Source organism: Homo sapiens, chromosome 11 (assembly GCF_000001405.40).
Source record: "Homo sapiens chromosome 11, GRCh38.p14 Primary Assembly".
In the NCBI taxonomy this organism is placed as follows: domain Eukaryota; kingdom Metazoa; phylum Chordata; class Mammalia; order Primates; family Hominidae; genus Homo; species Homo sapiens.
Genome location: NC_000011.10, coordinates 125,956,743 through 125,975,918, shown reverse-complemented (window position 1 = coordinate 125,975,918; position 19,176 = coordinate 125,956,743). Strand labels below are relative to the sequence as shown.

The 19,176-nt window shown below is 41.3% G+C and overlaps 1 protein-coding gene across 13 annotated transcripts in view; it reads left to right on the top strand.

Moving 5' to 3' along the window:
* Positions 1-19,098, top strand: part of CDON (cell adhesion associated, oncogene regulated) — a 106,515-nt gene extending 87,417 nt beyond the window's left edge. For 7 of the 13 annotated variants that reach the window (XM_017017873.2, NM_001243597.3, NM_001441162.1 and 4 more), the window contains exons 19-20: positions 13,921-14,264; positions 14,814-19,098. In XM_017017873.2, coding sequence (XP_016873362.1) covers positions 13,921-14,264; positions 14,814-14,977 — 508 coding nt within the window. In that variant the 3' untranslated portion in view covers positions 14,978-19,098. The remainder of the gene's footprint in view (positions 1-13,920; positions 14,265-14,813) is intronic. The other 6 variants (NM_001441166.1, NM_016952.6, NM_001441164.1 and 3 more) reach the window with 1 other exon arrangement.

Sequence of the window (19,176 nt, the reverse complement as noted above, 5' to 3'; positions counted from 1 at the left end):
AGTCAAACAAAACAAAACAAACATTTACTGAGCACTACCCAGGCTCTGGACTAGGTTCTGAGGTGTTTCCCCGTAGAAGGAATGTAAGAACAGTCATGGACGTAGAAAGGATAATGTTTACATAAGAATGAATAGGCGACTTCAGTGGTTCTCAAACTTTAGCGTGCATCACTTGAAACACTTAATAAAAACGCACATTACTAGGCTCTACTCCCACTCCTATTCTTAGACCAGAGTTTCCCATTCAGCAGGTCTAGGGTGGGGCCTGAGAATTTGCATTTCTAATGAGTTCGCAGATGGTACTGATGCCCATGGTCCTGGGACCATGCTTTGAGAACCGCTGGAATAATTTGATCGGCTGTGAAGTGCAACTAGAGAATAGTAGGATATTGAAATTGGACAACTGGACTGAGTTTATATAGTGGATAACCCTGAATGTGAAGGTTTAGTAGTTTATTTAATAAACAAGTCCTATTACTTAATAATAGTCCTATTAAATATTATTTATTAAATAAGCAAGTTTATTTAATAAACAAGGCCTTTTATTGAGTGCCTGTCATGTACTGGGTACTGGCCTAGGCCCTGCCTTCAGAGAGTCCATAGTCTAACAATAGTGATTCTCAGACAGAGGTAGGGATATAGTGAGTAGAGTTTGAAGAAGCACGTTGAGTTTTATAATTTTATATTTAAAGAATAGAAAAAAATCTCTATGTCTGTAATGTCTATGTATACAAGGGTATGCAATTTTTATATTAATCAAAAGGGGATATGCGTTAAATGTTGAGAAACACTGGGGTAGCAGCATCATAATTGTTGCAAAGCTTATTGAGAACAGGAATGATCTGTTCAGAGATATGCTCAGGCTGGATGAAAGATGGCAGTGCACAGGAGGGAAGGGAGGGAGGGGATCAGTGAGACATGGGGAATGGGGATGAAGAGGAAGGGATGAGTGAGACTGCAGACATGGAGTCTTCAGGACTTGGCCATTGACTGACAGGGATCTAGAAAAACAGAAGATTCCAGATGTGTAAGAAGTTTCAAACATGGATGATCTGGGTGGTAGTCATAGTAATAAGAAACTTAATAAAATGATACATCATAAAAAGGTGATAAATTTGGTTTTAGAGTTGAAGTATGAGTTGATATCTTAAGGAGAAAGATGAAAATGCTGGTCTTGGCTTCAGGGGGTAGAATGGAACTGTGATACAGATTTAGGACCATTTTAAGTTCTATCCAAGTAATAGAACTTAAAAACAGATGAGACACCAAAGGAGACAATATCCTTGGCAGATTGATTATTTTTATATATTTAATTATTTGATGCATTTATTTGCTTTTATTATGTATTTAAAGTGATTAGACATTCTTTTTATAAGACATCATATCTTTTGTTATTTTTTCTTACTGCCTTAATACATCTTCAGAGAATAACAGAGATGGGAAAAGGAGAATGATAAAATAAGGAGAGTAAAAAAGAAAAAAAGAATTCCCTCCCTCCCTCCCTCCCTCCCTCCCTCCCTCCCTCCCTTCCTTCCTTCCTTCCTTCCTTCCTACCTACCTACCTACCTACCTACCTACAAATGTTTGCTGCAGGTCTCTAGTGAGCCAAGCACCAAACTAGGTACTGGGGATATGGCAGTGAGCATAACAGGCATTGCTCCTGCCTGCGTGGAGCTTAGAGTTTAATAGGGGAGACATATCTTTTAAGAAAATGACATAAATCGGCGGGGTGCAGTGGCTCACGCCTGTAATCCCAGCACTTTGGGAGGCTATGGCGGGCGGATCACCTGAGGTCAGGAGTTTGAGACCAACCTGGCCAATGTGGTGAAACCCCATCTCTACTAAAAATACAAAAATTAGCTGGGCATGGTGGCAAGTGTCTGTAATCCCAGCTACACCGGAGGATGAAGCAGAAGAATCACTTGAACCCGGGAGGCAGAGGTTGCAATGAGCCAAGATCACGCCACTGCACTCCAGGCTGGGCAACAAGAGCGAAACTCTGTCTCAAAAGAAAAAAAAAATGACATAAATAATAAAAATGAATATGTAATTAAATCTGGATGCTTTAAAGGAAAAGTAAAGAATGTGGGAGAGAGGAAAGCCCTCTGTAAGCAAGTGGCATTTTGCTGAGCTCTGAAGATTTATAAAATTAGGTCTAAGGGAAGGAAATAAGTTTAGAGCTTTCCAGGCAAAGGGGACCATTTATACACAATCTCTAAAACAGAATGCCTGAATCCTCAAAGAACTTAAAGAAGGCCAACATAGCAGAAACCTAGTAACTGGAGGAGTCAGAATTAAAAGGCGAGTGAAATCAGATCACACAGAGCCATGGCACATCTGTGGATGGTTTTAAGCAGGAATTCGTTTTTGTTTTTGTTTTTGTTTTCTGAGATGGAGTCTCACTCTGTTGCCCAGGCTGGAGTGCAGTGGCACGATCTTGGCTCACTGCAACCTCCACCTCCCGGGTTCAAGCAATTCTCTGCCTCAGCCTCCCAAGTAGCTGGGATTACAGGTGCCCGCCACCACGCCCGGCTAATTTTTTGCATTTTTAGTAGAGACGGGGTTTCACCATGTCAGTCAGGCTGATCTTGAACTCCTAACCTCATGATCCACCCGTCTTGGCCTCCCAAAGTGCTGGGATTACAGGCATGAGCCACCATGCCCAGCTGAATTTGGGTTTTTAAAGAACACTCTGGATGCAGTTTGGAGACTAAATTGGATGGGGCAGGAGAGGATACCTGGAGACCAGTTAGATGGCAGTTGCAGTAGTCCAGATGAGAAACAGTAGACTAGCATAGTTGTAGGGAGAGAAAGAGAAGAATTTTGAGAGAATTAGGATTTAGAAGGAGATGAGTCTGAATGAGTCTGAGGGATTTAAAAAAAAAAAAAAAAAAAAAAAAGACCAAGTAATTGGTTGAAGAGGCCAGTGGAGGAAGCAGTTGAAGATGATGTCTAGGTGTCTGGGCGCAGTCACTGAGGCAGAGAACACTGCAGGAGATGAAGAGGAGCTGCCCCACAGTATACTTCTGGAGAGTTGTCCTCTGAGATCTGGTGGTGCCTCTGCAATTCGCCTTCTTTATTCCACAGATACTGAGAACTGGAGAAGTCTTGCATGGGGCCTTTTCCGTACGGACTCTTACCTGCTCTGTGCCCTGCCACTCCAGGTTCTTTTTTCTCTGCCTTCTCAGTTGTAAACTTAAGCATATTTCTTGGAGTGAGCTTTTAAGAAACATTGCCAACCCTTGACCCCTTTTATCACCCATCTATTTTAGTAATAACCATCTGGAGGGAAAACGTTGCCTCTATTATGTAAATGAGAGTATGATGTGAAAAGTTGAGAGCAGGTGAGGGGAGGGTGCACTGTATAGATCTGTGGGGAAGTTGTAGTTGATTCTGGGGCTCTTGTGACATGCTGTAAATGACCGCTTGCCTCACTGGGTTCCATGACCTTGAATCCTTTTTAGTTTCTTTTGATTTTCTTTTGTTTTTTTTGAGACAGAGTCTCACTCCAGTACCCAGGCTGGAGTGCAGTGGTGTAGTCTTGGCTCACTGCAACGCCGCTTCCTGGGTTCAAGCGATTCTCATGCCTCAGCCTCCTTAGTAGCTGGAATTACAGGCGTGTGGCACCATGGCTGGCTAATTTTTTTGTATTTTTAGTAGAGACGGAGTTTTGCCATGTTGGCTAGGCTGGTCTCGCACTCCTGGCCTCATGTGATCTGCCCGCCTCGGCCTCCCAATGTTCTGAGATTACAGGCGCGAGCTACCGCGCCTGACCCCTTTGCAGTTTTTAAGAGTAATATGTAAAGCTCACTATGAATGCCTAGAAAGAAGCATATTTAAGGCAGCTTTGCAGAGAGCCAGTTCCTTACACCAGAGACCTAATCAAGAAATCCTTGTGCCATTTGGGCATTTCAAGAGTTAAATGGATTTTAATCAAAAAACATCGAAAGCTTTCTACCCTTCTCTTCTCTTCTCCTGAATTCAAAAGGCAGTAATGCAGTTCTGGATATGTAATTAAATGTGGCTTATCAGTTGCTTGGCTAGTTTAATGGAAAGGGATTGGCATTAAATCTGGTCTTTTTTAGCATCAGCCTTGATAATTTGTAAGAGAGAGTAGAGAGGACACTGATGAAATTCACAGATGAACGGACCGAGAGACCCCATCAGGAAGGAATGAGAAATTAACTCGAAGGGTCGTAGAGAGACTGGAGATGGACAGGAAGTCTCCCAGCGAAAATCAGCTTGGAAAAATTATATAATTCATCTGGGAAAAAAAGTACAAATTACATGGCTGATAGTCAAGAGAAGTAGTAAAACTACTGGGAACGGTGCTTTAGAGAACAGAGATACTACAAATGACTTCAGAGTTTTGTATAATGACAACCTTAAAAGTCTGTGTGTTGGATTTGGGAATGCTCTTTCACCAACTTGAAACCCTCCGTGGATGTCAGATGTCCTCCGATGACAACAACATGTAGAGATGAATATGAGAACATTAATTATTATTATTTATTTATTTATTTATTTATTTATTTAGAGACAGAGTCTCGCTGTGTCGCCCAGGCTGGAGTGCAGTGGTGCGATCTCGGCTCACTGCAAGCTCCACCTCCCAGGTTCACGCCATTCTCCTGCCTCAGCCTCCTGAGTTGCTGGGACTACAAGTGCCCGCCACCACACCCAGCTAATTTTTTATGTTTTTAGTAGAGATGGGGTTTCACTGTGTTAGCCAGGATGGTCTTGGTCTCCTGACCTCGTGATCCGCCCGCCTTGGCCCCCCAAAGTACTGGGATTACAGGCGTGAGCCACCGGAGAACGTTAATTATCATAGCAGTTCTTTCAGGCCTAAGGTTTGATCTACCCAGTTGGTTTGCTAAGTATTAAAACAACAAGTTGTCCAGTTCACCTGAGCTTTTTCTTCCAGCAGAAAACAGGCATTCAGCTTCTCTTCCATCTATGGTAATCTCCCTATTTCCCTAAGAAATTCAGAGTGCTGTGTTGAATTTTAAAAATTGATCAGTGCTTTCCTTTTGGGGAAGTTATATATCTCCCCAAGTCTGTCTCGTACTTCTAAGATGGAGACCTAGCGCCTGTTGTCAGGGAGTCCAGCTTTTTGTCTTTCTTTATAAGCTCGTGTGTGTCTGTCAACTTGCCATGTTCAGGAATACACTCAGTCATTTGTTGTCACTCAACATTTACTGTCATGTTTTATGTGACAGCTGCTGATAGATTAATTCCCAAAAGGAAACTCCCACTCTAATGCTGCGGTCATCGCAGCATCCAACAGAGCAGATATCGAGAAGGGAAGACGGCCATGGCCCTGGAGCGGTGCCATCAGGGTTCTTTAGGTAGTAACTGATAAGCTCCCGAAAATAAGAGCTGGGTCAGCAAAATGACACAGTGACTAGTGGAAACAGCAGAGGTGAGTGGAATTTTAACATAAACTACTGGCCGGGTGCGGTGGCTCACGTCTGTAATCCCAGCACTTTGGGAGACTGAAGCAGGCAGATCACGAGGTCAGAAGTTCGAGACCAGCCTGACCAACATGGTGAAACCCCATCTCTACTAAAAAAACAAAAATCAGCCAGGCGTGGTGGCGCGCGCCTGTAATCTCAGCTACTCTGGAGCCTGAGGCAGGAGAATTGCTTGAATCCGGGAGGCAGAGGTTGCGGTGAGTCGAGATCGCGCCACTGCACTCCAGCCTGGCGACAGAGCAAGACTCTGTCTCAAAAAAAAAAAAAAAAAAAAACATAAACTACCACCAAGATGTAACTATTTCCGAAGTCTCAAGAATATATGCATGAGAACAAGTATCACACATCCAAGAAATTCACGGATAGTTCTTTCCCTCTAGGCATAATCAAAAGAGGAAACTTAATGCAAAAATTATATAGTCATCTAATCAGAGTAATTCTGTACATAATCATGCTTAACAAATATTCAACTGTGTAATCAGAAGTGGAATACTTCGAATACATTCTAGAAAATATTTCAGAGGTGCTGTATAGTTTTACAAGAATATTCTTCCAAGCACAATCCTACACTACTCTTCCAATCTTCTATTTCCTAGTCTGCTATTCAGAGTGTTGCTTAAAGAATATTTTATTATTTTTTGTGATACCACAATAGTCATTTTCCTATCTTTCAGATTGGTCAGACAGGCCTTTCCTGTGTTACTAAAAGGTATCTTAGTAAACTAACAGGTCCCAGACCACCTGAGGTTTTACAAAACAGCTTAGATTTTTGTATGTAGCAAGATGCATAGAGCTCCATTTACTCAATGTTTTTAAACTTAAGATTAAACAAAGTAGTTTCATTGAGCTAGAGAAAACTCAGTAAAAACTTTTATTCCACCTTAAGCCAGTAATAACTGCATTTGAAAGACCATTTGAGAAGCCTAAGATAGTGAAGTTACAAACTATTTGCATTATATAAACTGTAAAATGTGCATTGTGAGAGCATTTTATTGAATGTCATATGTTTGCAGACATTTGTCCTGTTTTCTTATTTACTACCTTAGATTTGTCTCTTAAGTTTACATATGTACAGATATGATTTTTGTGATCATCTAATTGCTTTGGAAATTTTAACTAAAGCATTATTAGTAAAATATTTGTTTTCACGGTCCAGGCGTGGTGGCTCACGCCTGTAATCCCAGCACTTTGGGAGACTAAGGCAGGCGGATCACCTGAGGTCGGGAGTTCAAGACCAGCCTGACCAACATGGAGAAACCCTGTCTCTACTAAAAATACAAAATTAGCTGGGCATGGTGGCGCATGCCTGTAATCCCAGCTACTCGGGAGGCTGAGGCAGGAGAATCACTTGAACCTGGGAGGCGGAGGTTGCAGTGAGCTGAGATCACGCCATTGCACTCCAGCCTGGGCAATGAGAGCAAAACTTCATCGCAATGATAATAATAATAATAGTTTTCATATATCATGTCTGGTTATATTCAGAACAGACTATGTTCCTTTTTAGCAGATGATGTTCTTTATGCCTGTATCTCAACATGTAACCCCTAAGTTAAAGCCATTTTTATGCTGACACATGTAGACATCTGGAATTGAACTAAAAGTAATTTAACTGAATCATTTACATTTGGTTAGCTAATTGGTTAATTACTGATGATTATGAGTTAAGATTCAGTGTACTAGAAAATTTTAAATCAATGTGGTTGATGCTGAAATTCAGGTCACAGTTGCTTTACAGATCTAACTCCCAAGTATGTTACCGTCAACACCACTCTAGTGACTGAGGATCATAGTTCAGAATAAAGTAAACACTGCTATGATTTCCTGTTTTACTTATCTGAAAAACAGATGCTAAAGAGTAGGTAATAGGAAATTGTACTTCTCTCTTGCTAAATATCTGGAATTTCTTTAAGAAGTGTGTGTATTTCATACGCCTGTTAGCTCCCCATAAAACCTGTGTCGACACGCTGATAACCACACTTGTGGTTGGCCCTTGCGCCTCTGTCTCGCCCGCTCCTCCAGTCCTGCCCCATGTGTAAAACTTCACTGTCACTCTGACAGAAGTACTTTACAAACTATTAGTCTGCCTTTAGACTTCATTAAAAAATCTCATTCTGTAACTTGGCTTTAAATTAAAGACAAGAGCAGAAAAAAAGAAATTAAACAGAAGGAAGCAGAAGGCTTTGAGGGCATCTCATTGTCTGGCGAGTCATCATTGTTTTGTTATATCAACATTATGAGTTCATTCAAGTTCAATCTGTATAAACAGGTTATTAATTTCTAATATTTTGTAGGGAACTGTCCTAGGTTTTCAAATTCTGGCAAATATGTGTATATGCATTTTTTTTCCTGTATCTTAATTTTATTTCTTTTAAATGAAAACTTTTCTTTCTGATCTGATACTTCTCCATCTTTAAAATATAGGTTTTAGCCAGGCGTGGTGGCCCACACCTATAATTCTAGCACTTTAGGAGGCTGAGGTAGGAAGATTGCCTGAGCCTAGGAGTTCAAGACCAGACTGGGCAACATAATGAGACCCCCTTCTCTACAAAAAAAATTTAAAAATTTTTCAGGAATGGTAGCACGTGCCTGTAGTCTGATTGAGTCTGATGCAATATGGAAGAATATACTGGGACTAGTCTCTACCTAGAATGTGGGAAGTGCCCTATTCTCATAGCCTCAGCTGCTCTGGAGGCTAAGGTGGGAGGATCACATGAGCCAGGGAGGTCAACGGTGCAGTGAGCCATGATCGTACCCAGCCTGGGCAACAGAGTGAGACCCATAAAGAAAATACAGGTTTCTAGTAGCTTTTTATTACCTCCAGATTCTTGCAGAGCAATGCGACATCAAGGCAGAAGATCACTTAGTGTATTTTAGGCCATCACTGTTGAGGGATTTCATTAAGTACCTGACTGTGCTGTGTGTCCTAAGGTATCTGACACTGAGAACTGTCATTGCGTTTGCTCCAGGAGATTGAAGTGTAAGTCAGACAACTTTGAAGCAGACAGATAATAGAAGGACCTTACAGATCACAGAATCAATATTGAACTAGGACAGAAATAACTATCATTAAAAAAGCAAAAAGTCTGATGTTCTAATGTTTATCATTTTTAAAAAACATTTTTGAGGTCCTATTGTGTGTCATTTTCTATGTGCTTGGTGCTAGCCATTATGACATTAGTTAGAGTTTAATGTGAATTAGGACTTTTACGACTTTCCAGACAATACAAATACTTTAGAACATTTTTAACTCCATTTCCCCCTCCAGTGTTTTGTGTTGTTTTCTTCATATGTTTGTATTCTAAAAATATTTAAAATCCTCTAAGATATTAACATTACTGCTTTTGCAATCCATATTTATTCAGAATTCCCTGCATTCTTTTTTTGTTGCTACTCATTCCTTTCTGTATTTCCTTTTTTTTTTTTAAATCTGTTGCTAGTCATTTTCCTTCAACTTGAAGAACTTCCCTTAATATTTCTTACAGTACAAGACTGAAGGTGACAGATTTTCCCAGCTTTGTTGTCTAAGAATATCTTTAATTTGTCTTCCTTTTTGAAGGTTTTTTCTTTTTTTTTTTAACCTCTAATTGACTTCTAGATTGGCAGTTACTGTCTTTCTGTACTTTAAAGACATTATTCTGTTACTTTATTGCTTCCATCATTTCTGTTGAAAAATCATCTGTACAGCTATTGTTGTTCCCTTTCAAGGTAATACATCTTTTTCTTCTGGCTGCTTTTTTTGATTTTGTCTTTGTATTTTGCTTCTACCCATTTAATTATTGGCATTGATCGGTGTAATTTTCTTTGTATTCTGCCTGGGGTCCACAGAGCTTCTTGGATCTGCGGCTTGAGCTTTCATCAGGTTTAGAAAACTCTTAGCTTCTGTGTCTCCAGTGCGGCTTCTGTTGCATTCTCTCCTTTCCCCCTGCAGAGAGACTCCAGTTAAATACAGAGTTTTTCGCCATACGGTGCCTCCTCTGTTCCTTCAGCTGCTTTCATATTTTCCATCCCTTGTCGTGGGAACTGATGTGCTTCGTGGTCAGCAATCCTCTGTTCGCCTGTGCCCAGCATGCTCTTATCCCCATGTCTTGAGTTCTTAAAGTTCGGTTACTTTACTGTTAATTTCAGAATTTCCAAGTGATTATTATTATTAGATTCTAGTTCTCTGTTAAAATTCTTGTCATCTACTTTATTGAATGTATTCATCCAGTTTTTAAAGTCTTTGCTCACTCACTATCTGCATCACTTGTTTTTCTCTTGTTCTTGTCTCCTGATGTGCCCAGTACTTTTTATCGAATTTTTTTTTTTTTTTTGAGATGGAATTTCGCGCTTCTTGCCCAGGCTGGCGTGCAATGGCATGATCTTGGCTCACCACAACCTCTGCCTCTCGGGTTCAAGCGGTTCTCCTGCCTCAGCCTCCTGAGTAGCTGGGATTACAGGCATGCGCCACCACGCCTGGCTAATTTTTTGTATTTTTTAGTAGAGACGCGGTTTCTCCATGTTGGTCAGGCTTGTCTCGAACTCCCGACGTCAGGTGATCCGTCTGCCTCGGCCTCCCAAAGTGCCGGGATTACAGGTGTGAGCCACAGTAACCAGGCTTTTTATTGAATTGTACACATCAGATATACAAACTTGCAGAGTTTCTGGAAGATGTTTTCCCCTCTAGAAAGGATTTACTTCTGCCTTTGGCAGGCAGTTGGACAAAGGCCAGATCACTTTAAGTCATTCTGGGATTGACATGATTTGCTCTTGAGTTGCAGTCTTTGTAAAAGCCCTCTCTGCTTTCTTCCTGCTTCACTCTTATTTTTAGGGTGTAGCCCTTCAAGGGTCCCACTTAAAAGCCTAGGGTGTTTACTGGGCCTTTTCTCCTTGGCAGACGCTGAACTCCAATTTTTGTCCTCCCAGTGCCATGAAACAGCCAAAAGTTCTGCTCAGCTTCTTATCTGTCTCTTTCTTCTTGACACCTTGTTTCCTCCTGCACTGAATCGAGCAGATGCCTCCAGAAGAAAAGTGGTGCTGATGCTCAGGGCCACTCGGACCTTTCCTGCAGAATCTCAGCCCCTCGAGTACTTTGGTAGCCCTCACATGCCTTTAACAGATTTAAGACAAAATTCCTCCATTTTTTTTAGTTGTTCTTAGCAGGAACAATCAGAATTGTTCTGATACAAGCTAATCAGCCATAGCCAGAAGTCAGGAATTTAATTTTTAAGAATTATTTTTGGCCAGGCGTGATGGCTTACGCCCGTAATCCTAGCACTTTGGGAGGCAGAGACGGGTGGATTGCCTGAACTCAGGAGTTTGAGACCAGCCTGGGCAACACGGTGAAACCCCGTCTCTACTAAAATACACACAAAAAATTAGCTGGGTGTGGTGGCATGCACCTATAATCCCAGTGACTTGGGAGGCTGAGGCAGGAGAATTGCTTGAACCCGAAAGGCGGAGGTTGCAGTGAACTGAGATCACTCCATTGCACTCCAGCCTGGGCAACGGAGCGAGACTCCTTCTCAAAAACAAACAAAAAAAGAATTATTTTCAACAAAACGTGGCAGCCATATAGGTTGCCCCGACGAAAGATATTTCTGATCTTTTGATATTAGAGTCCTTCTTCCTCTCTAATTCCATAATTGTTCTCTAATGTAATTTTCCTGATTATGAGATGATTGAGTCTGATGCAATATGGAAGAATACACTGGGACTGGTCTCTGGCTAGAACGTGCAAAGTGCCCTATTCTTGTCAGCCACACATGTATGACTTATCTCAAAGTTAATTGCTCCCCGTGTCTTTTATCTTTTCTTAGATAACCCTACATTATATTGATTATATTGTAACCTTTTTTTTTTTTGGTCTGTCTCCTTTGCTAGACTGGGAGCTGGAACTCTGCTTTACTTACCTTTGAATTTTAGACATCAGATACACAAACTTGCAGAGTTTCTGGAAGATGTTTTCCCCCTCTAGAAAGGATTTACTTCTGCCTTTGGCAGGCAGTTGGACAAAGGCCAGATCACTTTAAGTCATTCTGGGACTGACATGATTTGCTCCTGAGTTGCAGTCTTTGTAAAAGCCCTCTCTGCTCTCTTCCTGCTTCACTCTTCACTCTTTCAGTGCCTACCACGATGTCTGACCTAAGGAAGGTATTTAGCAAATGCTTTCTCAATAAAGGGTTCTTTCAGATAAGGTTAGTTATATAGATGTATAATCATTAAATTCTCAGCAGTAGTAGTTTGAACTCACAAAGGCTTTTCTCCCCACGACCTTGCCCCACATTTCACCCCGTTTAGAGTCTGTAGATTCCATGCATTGAATACATTCAGGGGGACTTGAGGGTTCCCTGAGTATTGGGAGACTAAGAACAAAATGCAGGAAAGGAAGACACTGATCACATGGACATTTTTAAGTGGGTTTCAGATTAGTGCTCACCTTCGCCAGCATCCAGAAAATTTTTCTATAAGTTCAGGGTTGAATAAAATAGACAAGAGAGTAAGTTGGGAATGCTGTACTCTTCTGTAGTCATGACACATCTAGACCAGTGCTCTGATTGTGGCTCCAGTTAACGTCCTTCTGCACCAGAGCTTTCTTCACTATTTATTCACTGAAGACATGTGTGGAAACACATAGGTTACATCTAAATCAGGCATTTTTTTGCTATAGAATTAAACATTAAAATCAGAGTCGTATTAGAAAATACCATACTCAAATTATTCTGCACAGATGAATACTTGTCACACTTTACTTACCAGGTGTCTGGTCTCTGAATTTAATTATCTATATAGTGAGTATATTTCTCTATTTGAAACTAAAGTTGGAGTTATTTAAATTAAAGATTTGGTTTGCTGACAGATATCTTATTCTCTTTCAGGTTCATGTCTGTCTTCATGCTTAAGATTTGGTATTTCCAGTAACTTGAACGAGTGTAACTGCTAGCAACAGTTGATTAGACTTTTACTGATTTTTCTTTGCCCCAGAAACATATCAGCCCATGTTTAAAGGATGCAAATCCAAATAATTCTTATCTTCATTGCCTAACGTTATCTAGCTCCAGGATACTACTGGTCAGTCCTATGTGTTTCCTACCTAACATGTCCAAATCAAAGCCCAGTGCAATGTCATCTCCAGACTTTTCTTACTCCCAATTATAGGGGGGAAAAAAAGTGTCACTAAGGCTCCAACTTCCAGTAATGGTAGAATAGCTTGATCATCAACAGATAATAATGATAAAATCTGGATAATTTGAAAGTATTGGAGAATAAGCAGAAGCAGGCAGAAACTGAATAAGAGTCTACCCTTGAAATAAAATGTGTGAGATTTATGAGTTTATGGGTTTCTGTCTGAAAGCATTCTCCAATCTTGGGGCAAGGATACAAGCAGAAGCTATCAGAGAACTGAGTGTGATGCTAACAGAGCAGCCAGAAAATTAAAAGGAAAATCTAGTTTAAAAAAAATTATTATATATGTGAAGAAACAGGAAAATGTGATAATTACTTAAGGGAAAAAAAGTCAATAGAAACAGACTCTGAGATGGACCCAGATGTCACAATTAGCAGATAATGACTTTAAGCAGCCATTATAAATATGTTCAAGGATTTAAAGGAAGGTATACACATAATAAATGAACATATAGGGAATTTCAGCCGATAAACAGAGCCGGTACAAAAGACCAAATGGAAATTCCAGAGCTAAAGAGCTCAGTAACTAAAATGGAAAATTTACTAGATGAGCTTAACAGCTGTTGGAGACCACAAGTTAATGGACAAGAAGATAGATCAGTAGAAATTGTCCAGTCTGAAGAACAGAAAGAAAAAAATTAAAGAAAACACACATTGTACGTAAAGGCAGGAAGTAAAAGTAGAACAGAATTGACGTGAAATACTCAGTGGTAATAAATTCCAGCAATTCTGTGAAGAAAAAAGTTGAAAAATTAAAAATTCCTAGATTTTGAATGTCTAATCCTTATAGCGTTTCCTCCAGGAATGAGGGGGAACATATAATCTGATTTCAAAGCAGTGTGTTTTTGGTTAACTTTCCTAAGGTTGTTTCTTTCGTGTGGCCATACATTTCTTAGCTTCCTGTCCTCCTCTTCCTCTTTTATTCTCTCATTCTTCCCAGTAGCTAATGGCCTTTTCCTTCTGGGTGCTACTTTTGGGAGCCAGTTAATAATGAAGTAGATGACTTCTGACAGTGGACTAAGACAAAGGAAGCCTGTGTGCTGGGACATTGAATAAGAATGCATTCTTAAGTATTCTTTTGGTGTATTCTCCTGTTGTATGGCACTTTCACTATCATTTTGAAATTCTCAGTATTTCAAATCATAGTGAATCATTTAGTTGTTTTTAAGCATCACTCTTTCTTAAGAGTCTGTGAATACAGAATACCAAATGATATTTCAGAATAGGCTTATTTTAATTATTGGTTCCTCTAGACACAATTCTGTTTCTTTTGGTTTAACCTCTGCAGGTGTTTCACCAAAACCAACAGCACTTTCAGCAGCAGCCCTCCTCCTGTGGTCCCTGTGGTAGCACCTTATCCTCAGGATGGTTTGGAAATGAAGCCCCTCAGTCACGTGAAGGTGCCTGTATGCCTGACTTCCGCAGTCCCTGATTGTGGCCAGTTGCCGGAGGAGAGCGTCAAGGACAATGTGGAACCAGTCCCTACTCAGCGTACCTGCTGTCAGGACATTGTAAATGACGTCAGCTCTGATGGCTCAGAAGATCCAGCAGAGTTCAGCAGAGGTCAGGAAGGCATGATCAACCTTAGGATTCCAGATCATCTTCAGTTAGCTAAGAGCTGTGTATGGGAAGGTGATGCTTTCAGAGTTTCCCCTCTATGATTAGTTTACATATTTCTTGGGAGACTGGGTGGGGTGCTGGGTCCTTCAGGAAAAGATAGGACTCAAGATAAAGGATTCTTTGAAATTCTGTTATTACTCATGTCCTTCATCTCAGGCTGTCAATCCCATCACACTTTGGAAAATCTATTTGGAAATAGGCTTTGATTTCATTCGTAGGGTAGCAGAAGACTTGCTGGAAGAATGCATTTTGTGAACATGAGCCCCTTTTTGATTTGAGTTGGTTCTGGAGTTGTAACCTTTCTTTCAGGTGGTTATTTTAGGGCTTTTAAGGGGTTGCTTTACTTCTCAGGTGAATTGTATAGCTTCTCATGAGAGCTCAACTTTATTTTAAACCTTTTAAACCTTCTGTCGCCCTCAAATTCAAACCACACACAAACCAGGTTCTATTTATGCTCGTTTTTCTTTCTTCTTGGCTCAAAGTGTGAAGAAGTTTTTAGACTGCTTTGTAAAAATCAGCCTTTATCATTTGATAATGCTCCCAAACCCTGCTGTGTTTCAGGAGACAGCTGTGCCCATTCAGAAACAGAGATCAACATTGTAAGTTGGAATGCTCTTATTTTGCCACCTGTCCCCGAGGGCTGTGCTGAGAAGACAATGTGGTCTCCACCTGGCATTCCTTTAGACAGCCCGACAGAGGTCCTTCAGCAGCCCCGGGAAACCTGAGGACATGCAAACAACCAGTCATGTTCCAACTTCAAGCCGGTAACTGCACACAACAGGCCTGGGAGCGAACTGTGTGAAGGACCTTAATTCAAATCAGAGAAAATCATTATTTATTTTTTTGTAGTAGTAATGTCATATGAATGTATCTTAAAACGTGTGCCCTTTTATATTATTTATGCCTTAAATGTTTTCTTCCCCATTCCTTCCTCCCCCTCGGTAGGAAACAACCTTGTTTTGCATAGTATTCAGTCACCTGGAGGGCAGAGGGGTCCTTCCATGTTTTCTAACAGCTATAGTGACAGCAAGAGCTCCTCATGCAAAGGATCCCATCTCTTGGCTGCTTCGGCTAGGAGGGAATGCAGGGGCCCGTTGAAGGTTGCCACCAGCTGGGTTTTCAGGTGGAAAATGGTCTTTCAATAGTGTATTCTCAGACTTTTTTTTGTTTGTTTTTTGAGATGGAGTCTTGCTGTCATCCAGGCTGGAGTGCAATGGCTCGATCTTGGCTCACTGCAACCTCCGCCTCCCAGGTTCAAGCAATTCTCCCGCCTCAGCCTCCTGAGTAGCTGGGACTACAGGCACCTGCCACCACGTCCAGCTAATTGTCTTGTATTTTTATTAGAGACAAGGTTTCAGGCTGGTTTTGAACTCCTGACCTCAAGTGATCCACCCGCCTCCGCCTCCCAAAGTGCGAGGATTACAGGCGTGAGCCACCACGTCTGGCCTGTATTATCAGACTTCCTGAGAACACTTTGAAATCAACTGCAGTTGTGACCCATGTTTATAATAACAGACCTGGCTGACGGATTTTACAAGAGTGCCTTCCACAGAAGTGGTAATGTGACCTGTTGACTTTGTATCTGCACGTGGGCACGAGTGATGTTCAGTTTGCTAGGCACTAGTCATAGTGTTATGGACGTGGTGGAGTGTAAGGTCTTGATGAATTACGGCAGTATGCAGAAAAGGAACCAAGGCCAGAGAGACAAATAATGCCTCATGTCCCACTGCTTTAAAATTACATTAATTTATAAAATGGCCACTATGGGCTCTTTTTGACTGTTTCTCGGAGTAGGAACAAAATAAGACATTAAATGGTGGCTTGAAGAGAAAGATACACATTTTCAGAAGAAAGAAAGGGGAGGGCTGCAGGGAGCCTGTCTTGGCGGGAGCTCTCCAGTCTGTTGGATTAGCACAGGGACACGCTTATGGTGCCATGACGCCGAAACTAGTCATCCCCCATCTCCAGCATAGGCAACGGCCTGCAGGGGTGAGTGTCAGAAAAGACTTACTTTGGAAGAAAAGGGTTTTTTTTTGTTTGTTTGTTTTTTGTTTTTTTTTGTTTGTTTGTTTTGGGTTTTTTTCCTGAAATTTCCTGATACCTTTTTCAGAATGTCACCCTTGTAAATAGGCACCTAAAGCCAAGTTGGTCAGCAGAGCTCCTGACCACGGCTGCCTCTGCGTGACAAGGACATTTGCAGCTGCCTTTGGAAGGCTCTTCACATTAAAAAACAATAATTATGTAAGTGTGTTTCATAGCTTGAGTCAAGCTTTCAAGGATCACTGCTCCTTTGTGCATTGTGCATCCCTTTGGGGAAAGAAACAGAAAATTATTCTCTTTCTATAGAGTCAAGCAATTCCAGCAGAAGTGAAGAAATGTTAGTTTCCCAGAAATCGCAGTGGAATAGAATACAATACTGTGTTAACCAACTTTCTGTATAAATGCATCAGTATTCCCTTACATATGTCTATATATTTTATAATAGAACTGTTAGTGAAAATGTGCTTGTTTAAGCTGGGTCACTATGCAAGAGTTACTTCCAGTAGAATGTAGTGAATGTAATTCCCTAGTCGGATATTAGGGATGCTGTAGACCCAAGTTCTACATTCCAGATGTCCGTGCCTATAGTATACTGGATTTATTCTTCATGTTGCTTAAATGCAGTTAGCTCTGGAGGGGGATAGCTGCATCCCTTACTTCTGTGACTAGCAAAGGACAAAGTCCCAGCGCACAGAATATGAAAACATACCCTGTGTTAGCCAATCAAGTTACAGCAATGCTGTCACAAAGGGAGTTTTAGAAAACTGGGGAGTCATTGTCCGTAGACAGCCATTTTGATTTAGGAAACAGGTGTATTAGCATGAGCCTTAGGTCATGAACTGCTTTTAAAGATTGAGTTTGAATATGGGATCTGTCCACGAGGAAGAGAAAATGGCTTTACCTTTAGGACAATCTCATTGTGGACTGCTTTATTTATATTATTAGTAACGCTGTTTTAAGTGTTATTCTTTTTATTGTATTTTATTTATAAAAAATGCCTTTATATATTGAAATATATAAATATATATATATAAACACACACACACACACACACACACACATATATATATATATATATAATTGCCTTTATATTTAGGCGGTATGAGTTCTCCCTAAGCGTGAGTTGGCTCTGCCCTGCACAGGCACCCAAACAGTCCTACCTAATGTCACTTCACCAGGAAATGAGAGGACATGGTACAGTGTGGGAGACAGCACTAACACGTGCTGAATAACTACTGTGTACCAGGCACTGTGCTCGGTGCTTGTTACTGTTAACTCATTTAACCCCCACAACTCATCTACAAAGTTGGCATTAAAATCCCCAAGTCACTCAGTGAGCCATGGGACCTGAATCCGAACCTAGTTTATCTGGAGCCATAATCTGGGCTCCTCCCATTTTTCCATACTGCTTTCCAAAAGCATTGTGGTTCACTCTTTGGATGGAACCAGTCCCGTTCCGTATGCTGTGATCTATCCCTGCCGTGGAATTCCTCCGAGGCTCCAACTCCGCAGCCAGAGAAGCTGCTCTCTGGCCTCCGCGGGCAGAGCTCTGCTTATGACTTCGTCTTCCAGAGGTCCACATTTCTCCCCTTGACGCCCCCTGTCTACCACCTCCACCTGGAAATTTGATCTTTACTGTGCTCAGTGATCACGAAATTGGTCAAGCCTATTCATGTTCCTTCTCATCTAGAATTCTGTGTGATTGTTTTAGCATAAACTGCCCCGCTCCCACTGTATCATTTCACGATCTCCTTTTAATGTTTTTCTTTCAGTTTTGCACTGACAGTCTGGTGACAGGTGCTGCCAGGGTGCAAGTTACATTGCAATGTTCTAAACCTTTTGAAGTGTTCTTAGCAAAAGCCTTTCTTTCTGGGTGTTTTTGTCGAATGAGTCTATGAAGACTCAATGCATCCATCTTGGGCTGATCATGCCACAGATCTCATTCCAGCTATAGTACTGCCAAGAAGTGAAGTTTATCATTGAATTTTACCTGTGTTGCTCTCTTTTAAAGTAATGACTTTGAGATGCATGCTTTGTATCATATTGAAAAGTATGTTTTATTTTCCTTAAAGTTGTAATATTGTGTGTGAAACTGTACATATTTTAAATGATGTAGCTTTGGCAGGTTTTATTTGGTTGATATGATTTTATATTAAAAGAGAAGGCTGCTTTCATATAGCATAGCCCCTGAAGGTGGGAATACTCCCTGTTTGTACAACGCTGCTTATAGTTTGTGATTGGGGTGGGCGAATGTCTTCCTCTGAAATTCTTTGGAACCCCCCACCCCTGTCCTCCCCTGAAACTCCCCTGTGCACACCCCTCTGTTCTGACTGCAGAGATCAAGGCCCTGAAGGAGCAGGATCTTGGGCAAGTGTTTTAGGGGACGCTGAGAACATACCTGACCCTGGGGGCGATGTGGAGGCAGGCCCACCTCCTCGGGGCAACTTTGCGTTTCCTTGGAGGGAAGGGAGGTGGGTAGGAGAGGAGCTTGGGAGGATGAGGAGGAGCGGTCCCGCCTCACACATTGTCTATTTTTACCATTAACCGAGCGCCACATGTTTATGAACTTCAGGATAGAAATTTAGCCTCCTTGTGAAAACGTTTTGTTTTACTGCCCTAAGAAAATACACATCTCTAGGCTTGTCTGACCAGAAAGCCAGCAAAGTCTTTTGCATCGGGTGTGGCCCTTTTGTATTTTATTTCCCATATTTAAATAAGCCTTCCTTAAACCCTAGCCCCAGTCCTGAGAGCTTTGAGGGTAGCCGAAACCCCTTATCTAATAAAGTCTAACTCTGTGAGAACCACAGAATCTTCTTAAGCTTCTCAATTTTCTGTCTCCTTTCAGGCGCCACGTCCCTTGTGCTGGCGGGTCCCCCGTTGGCTT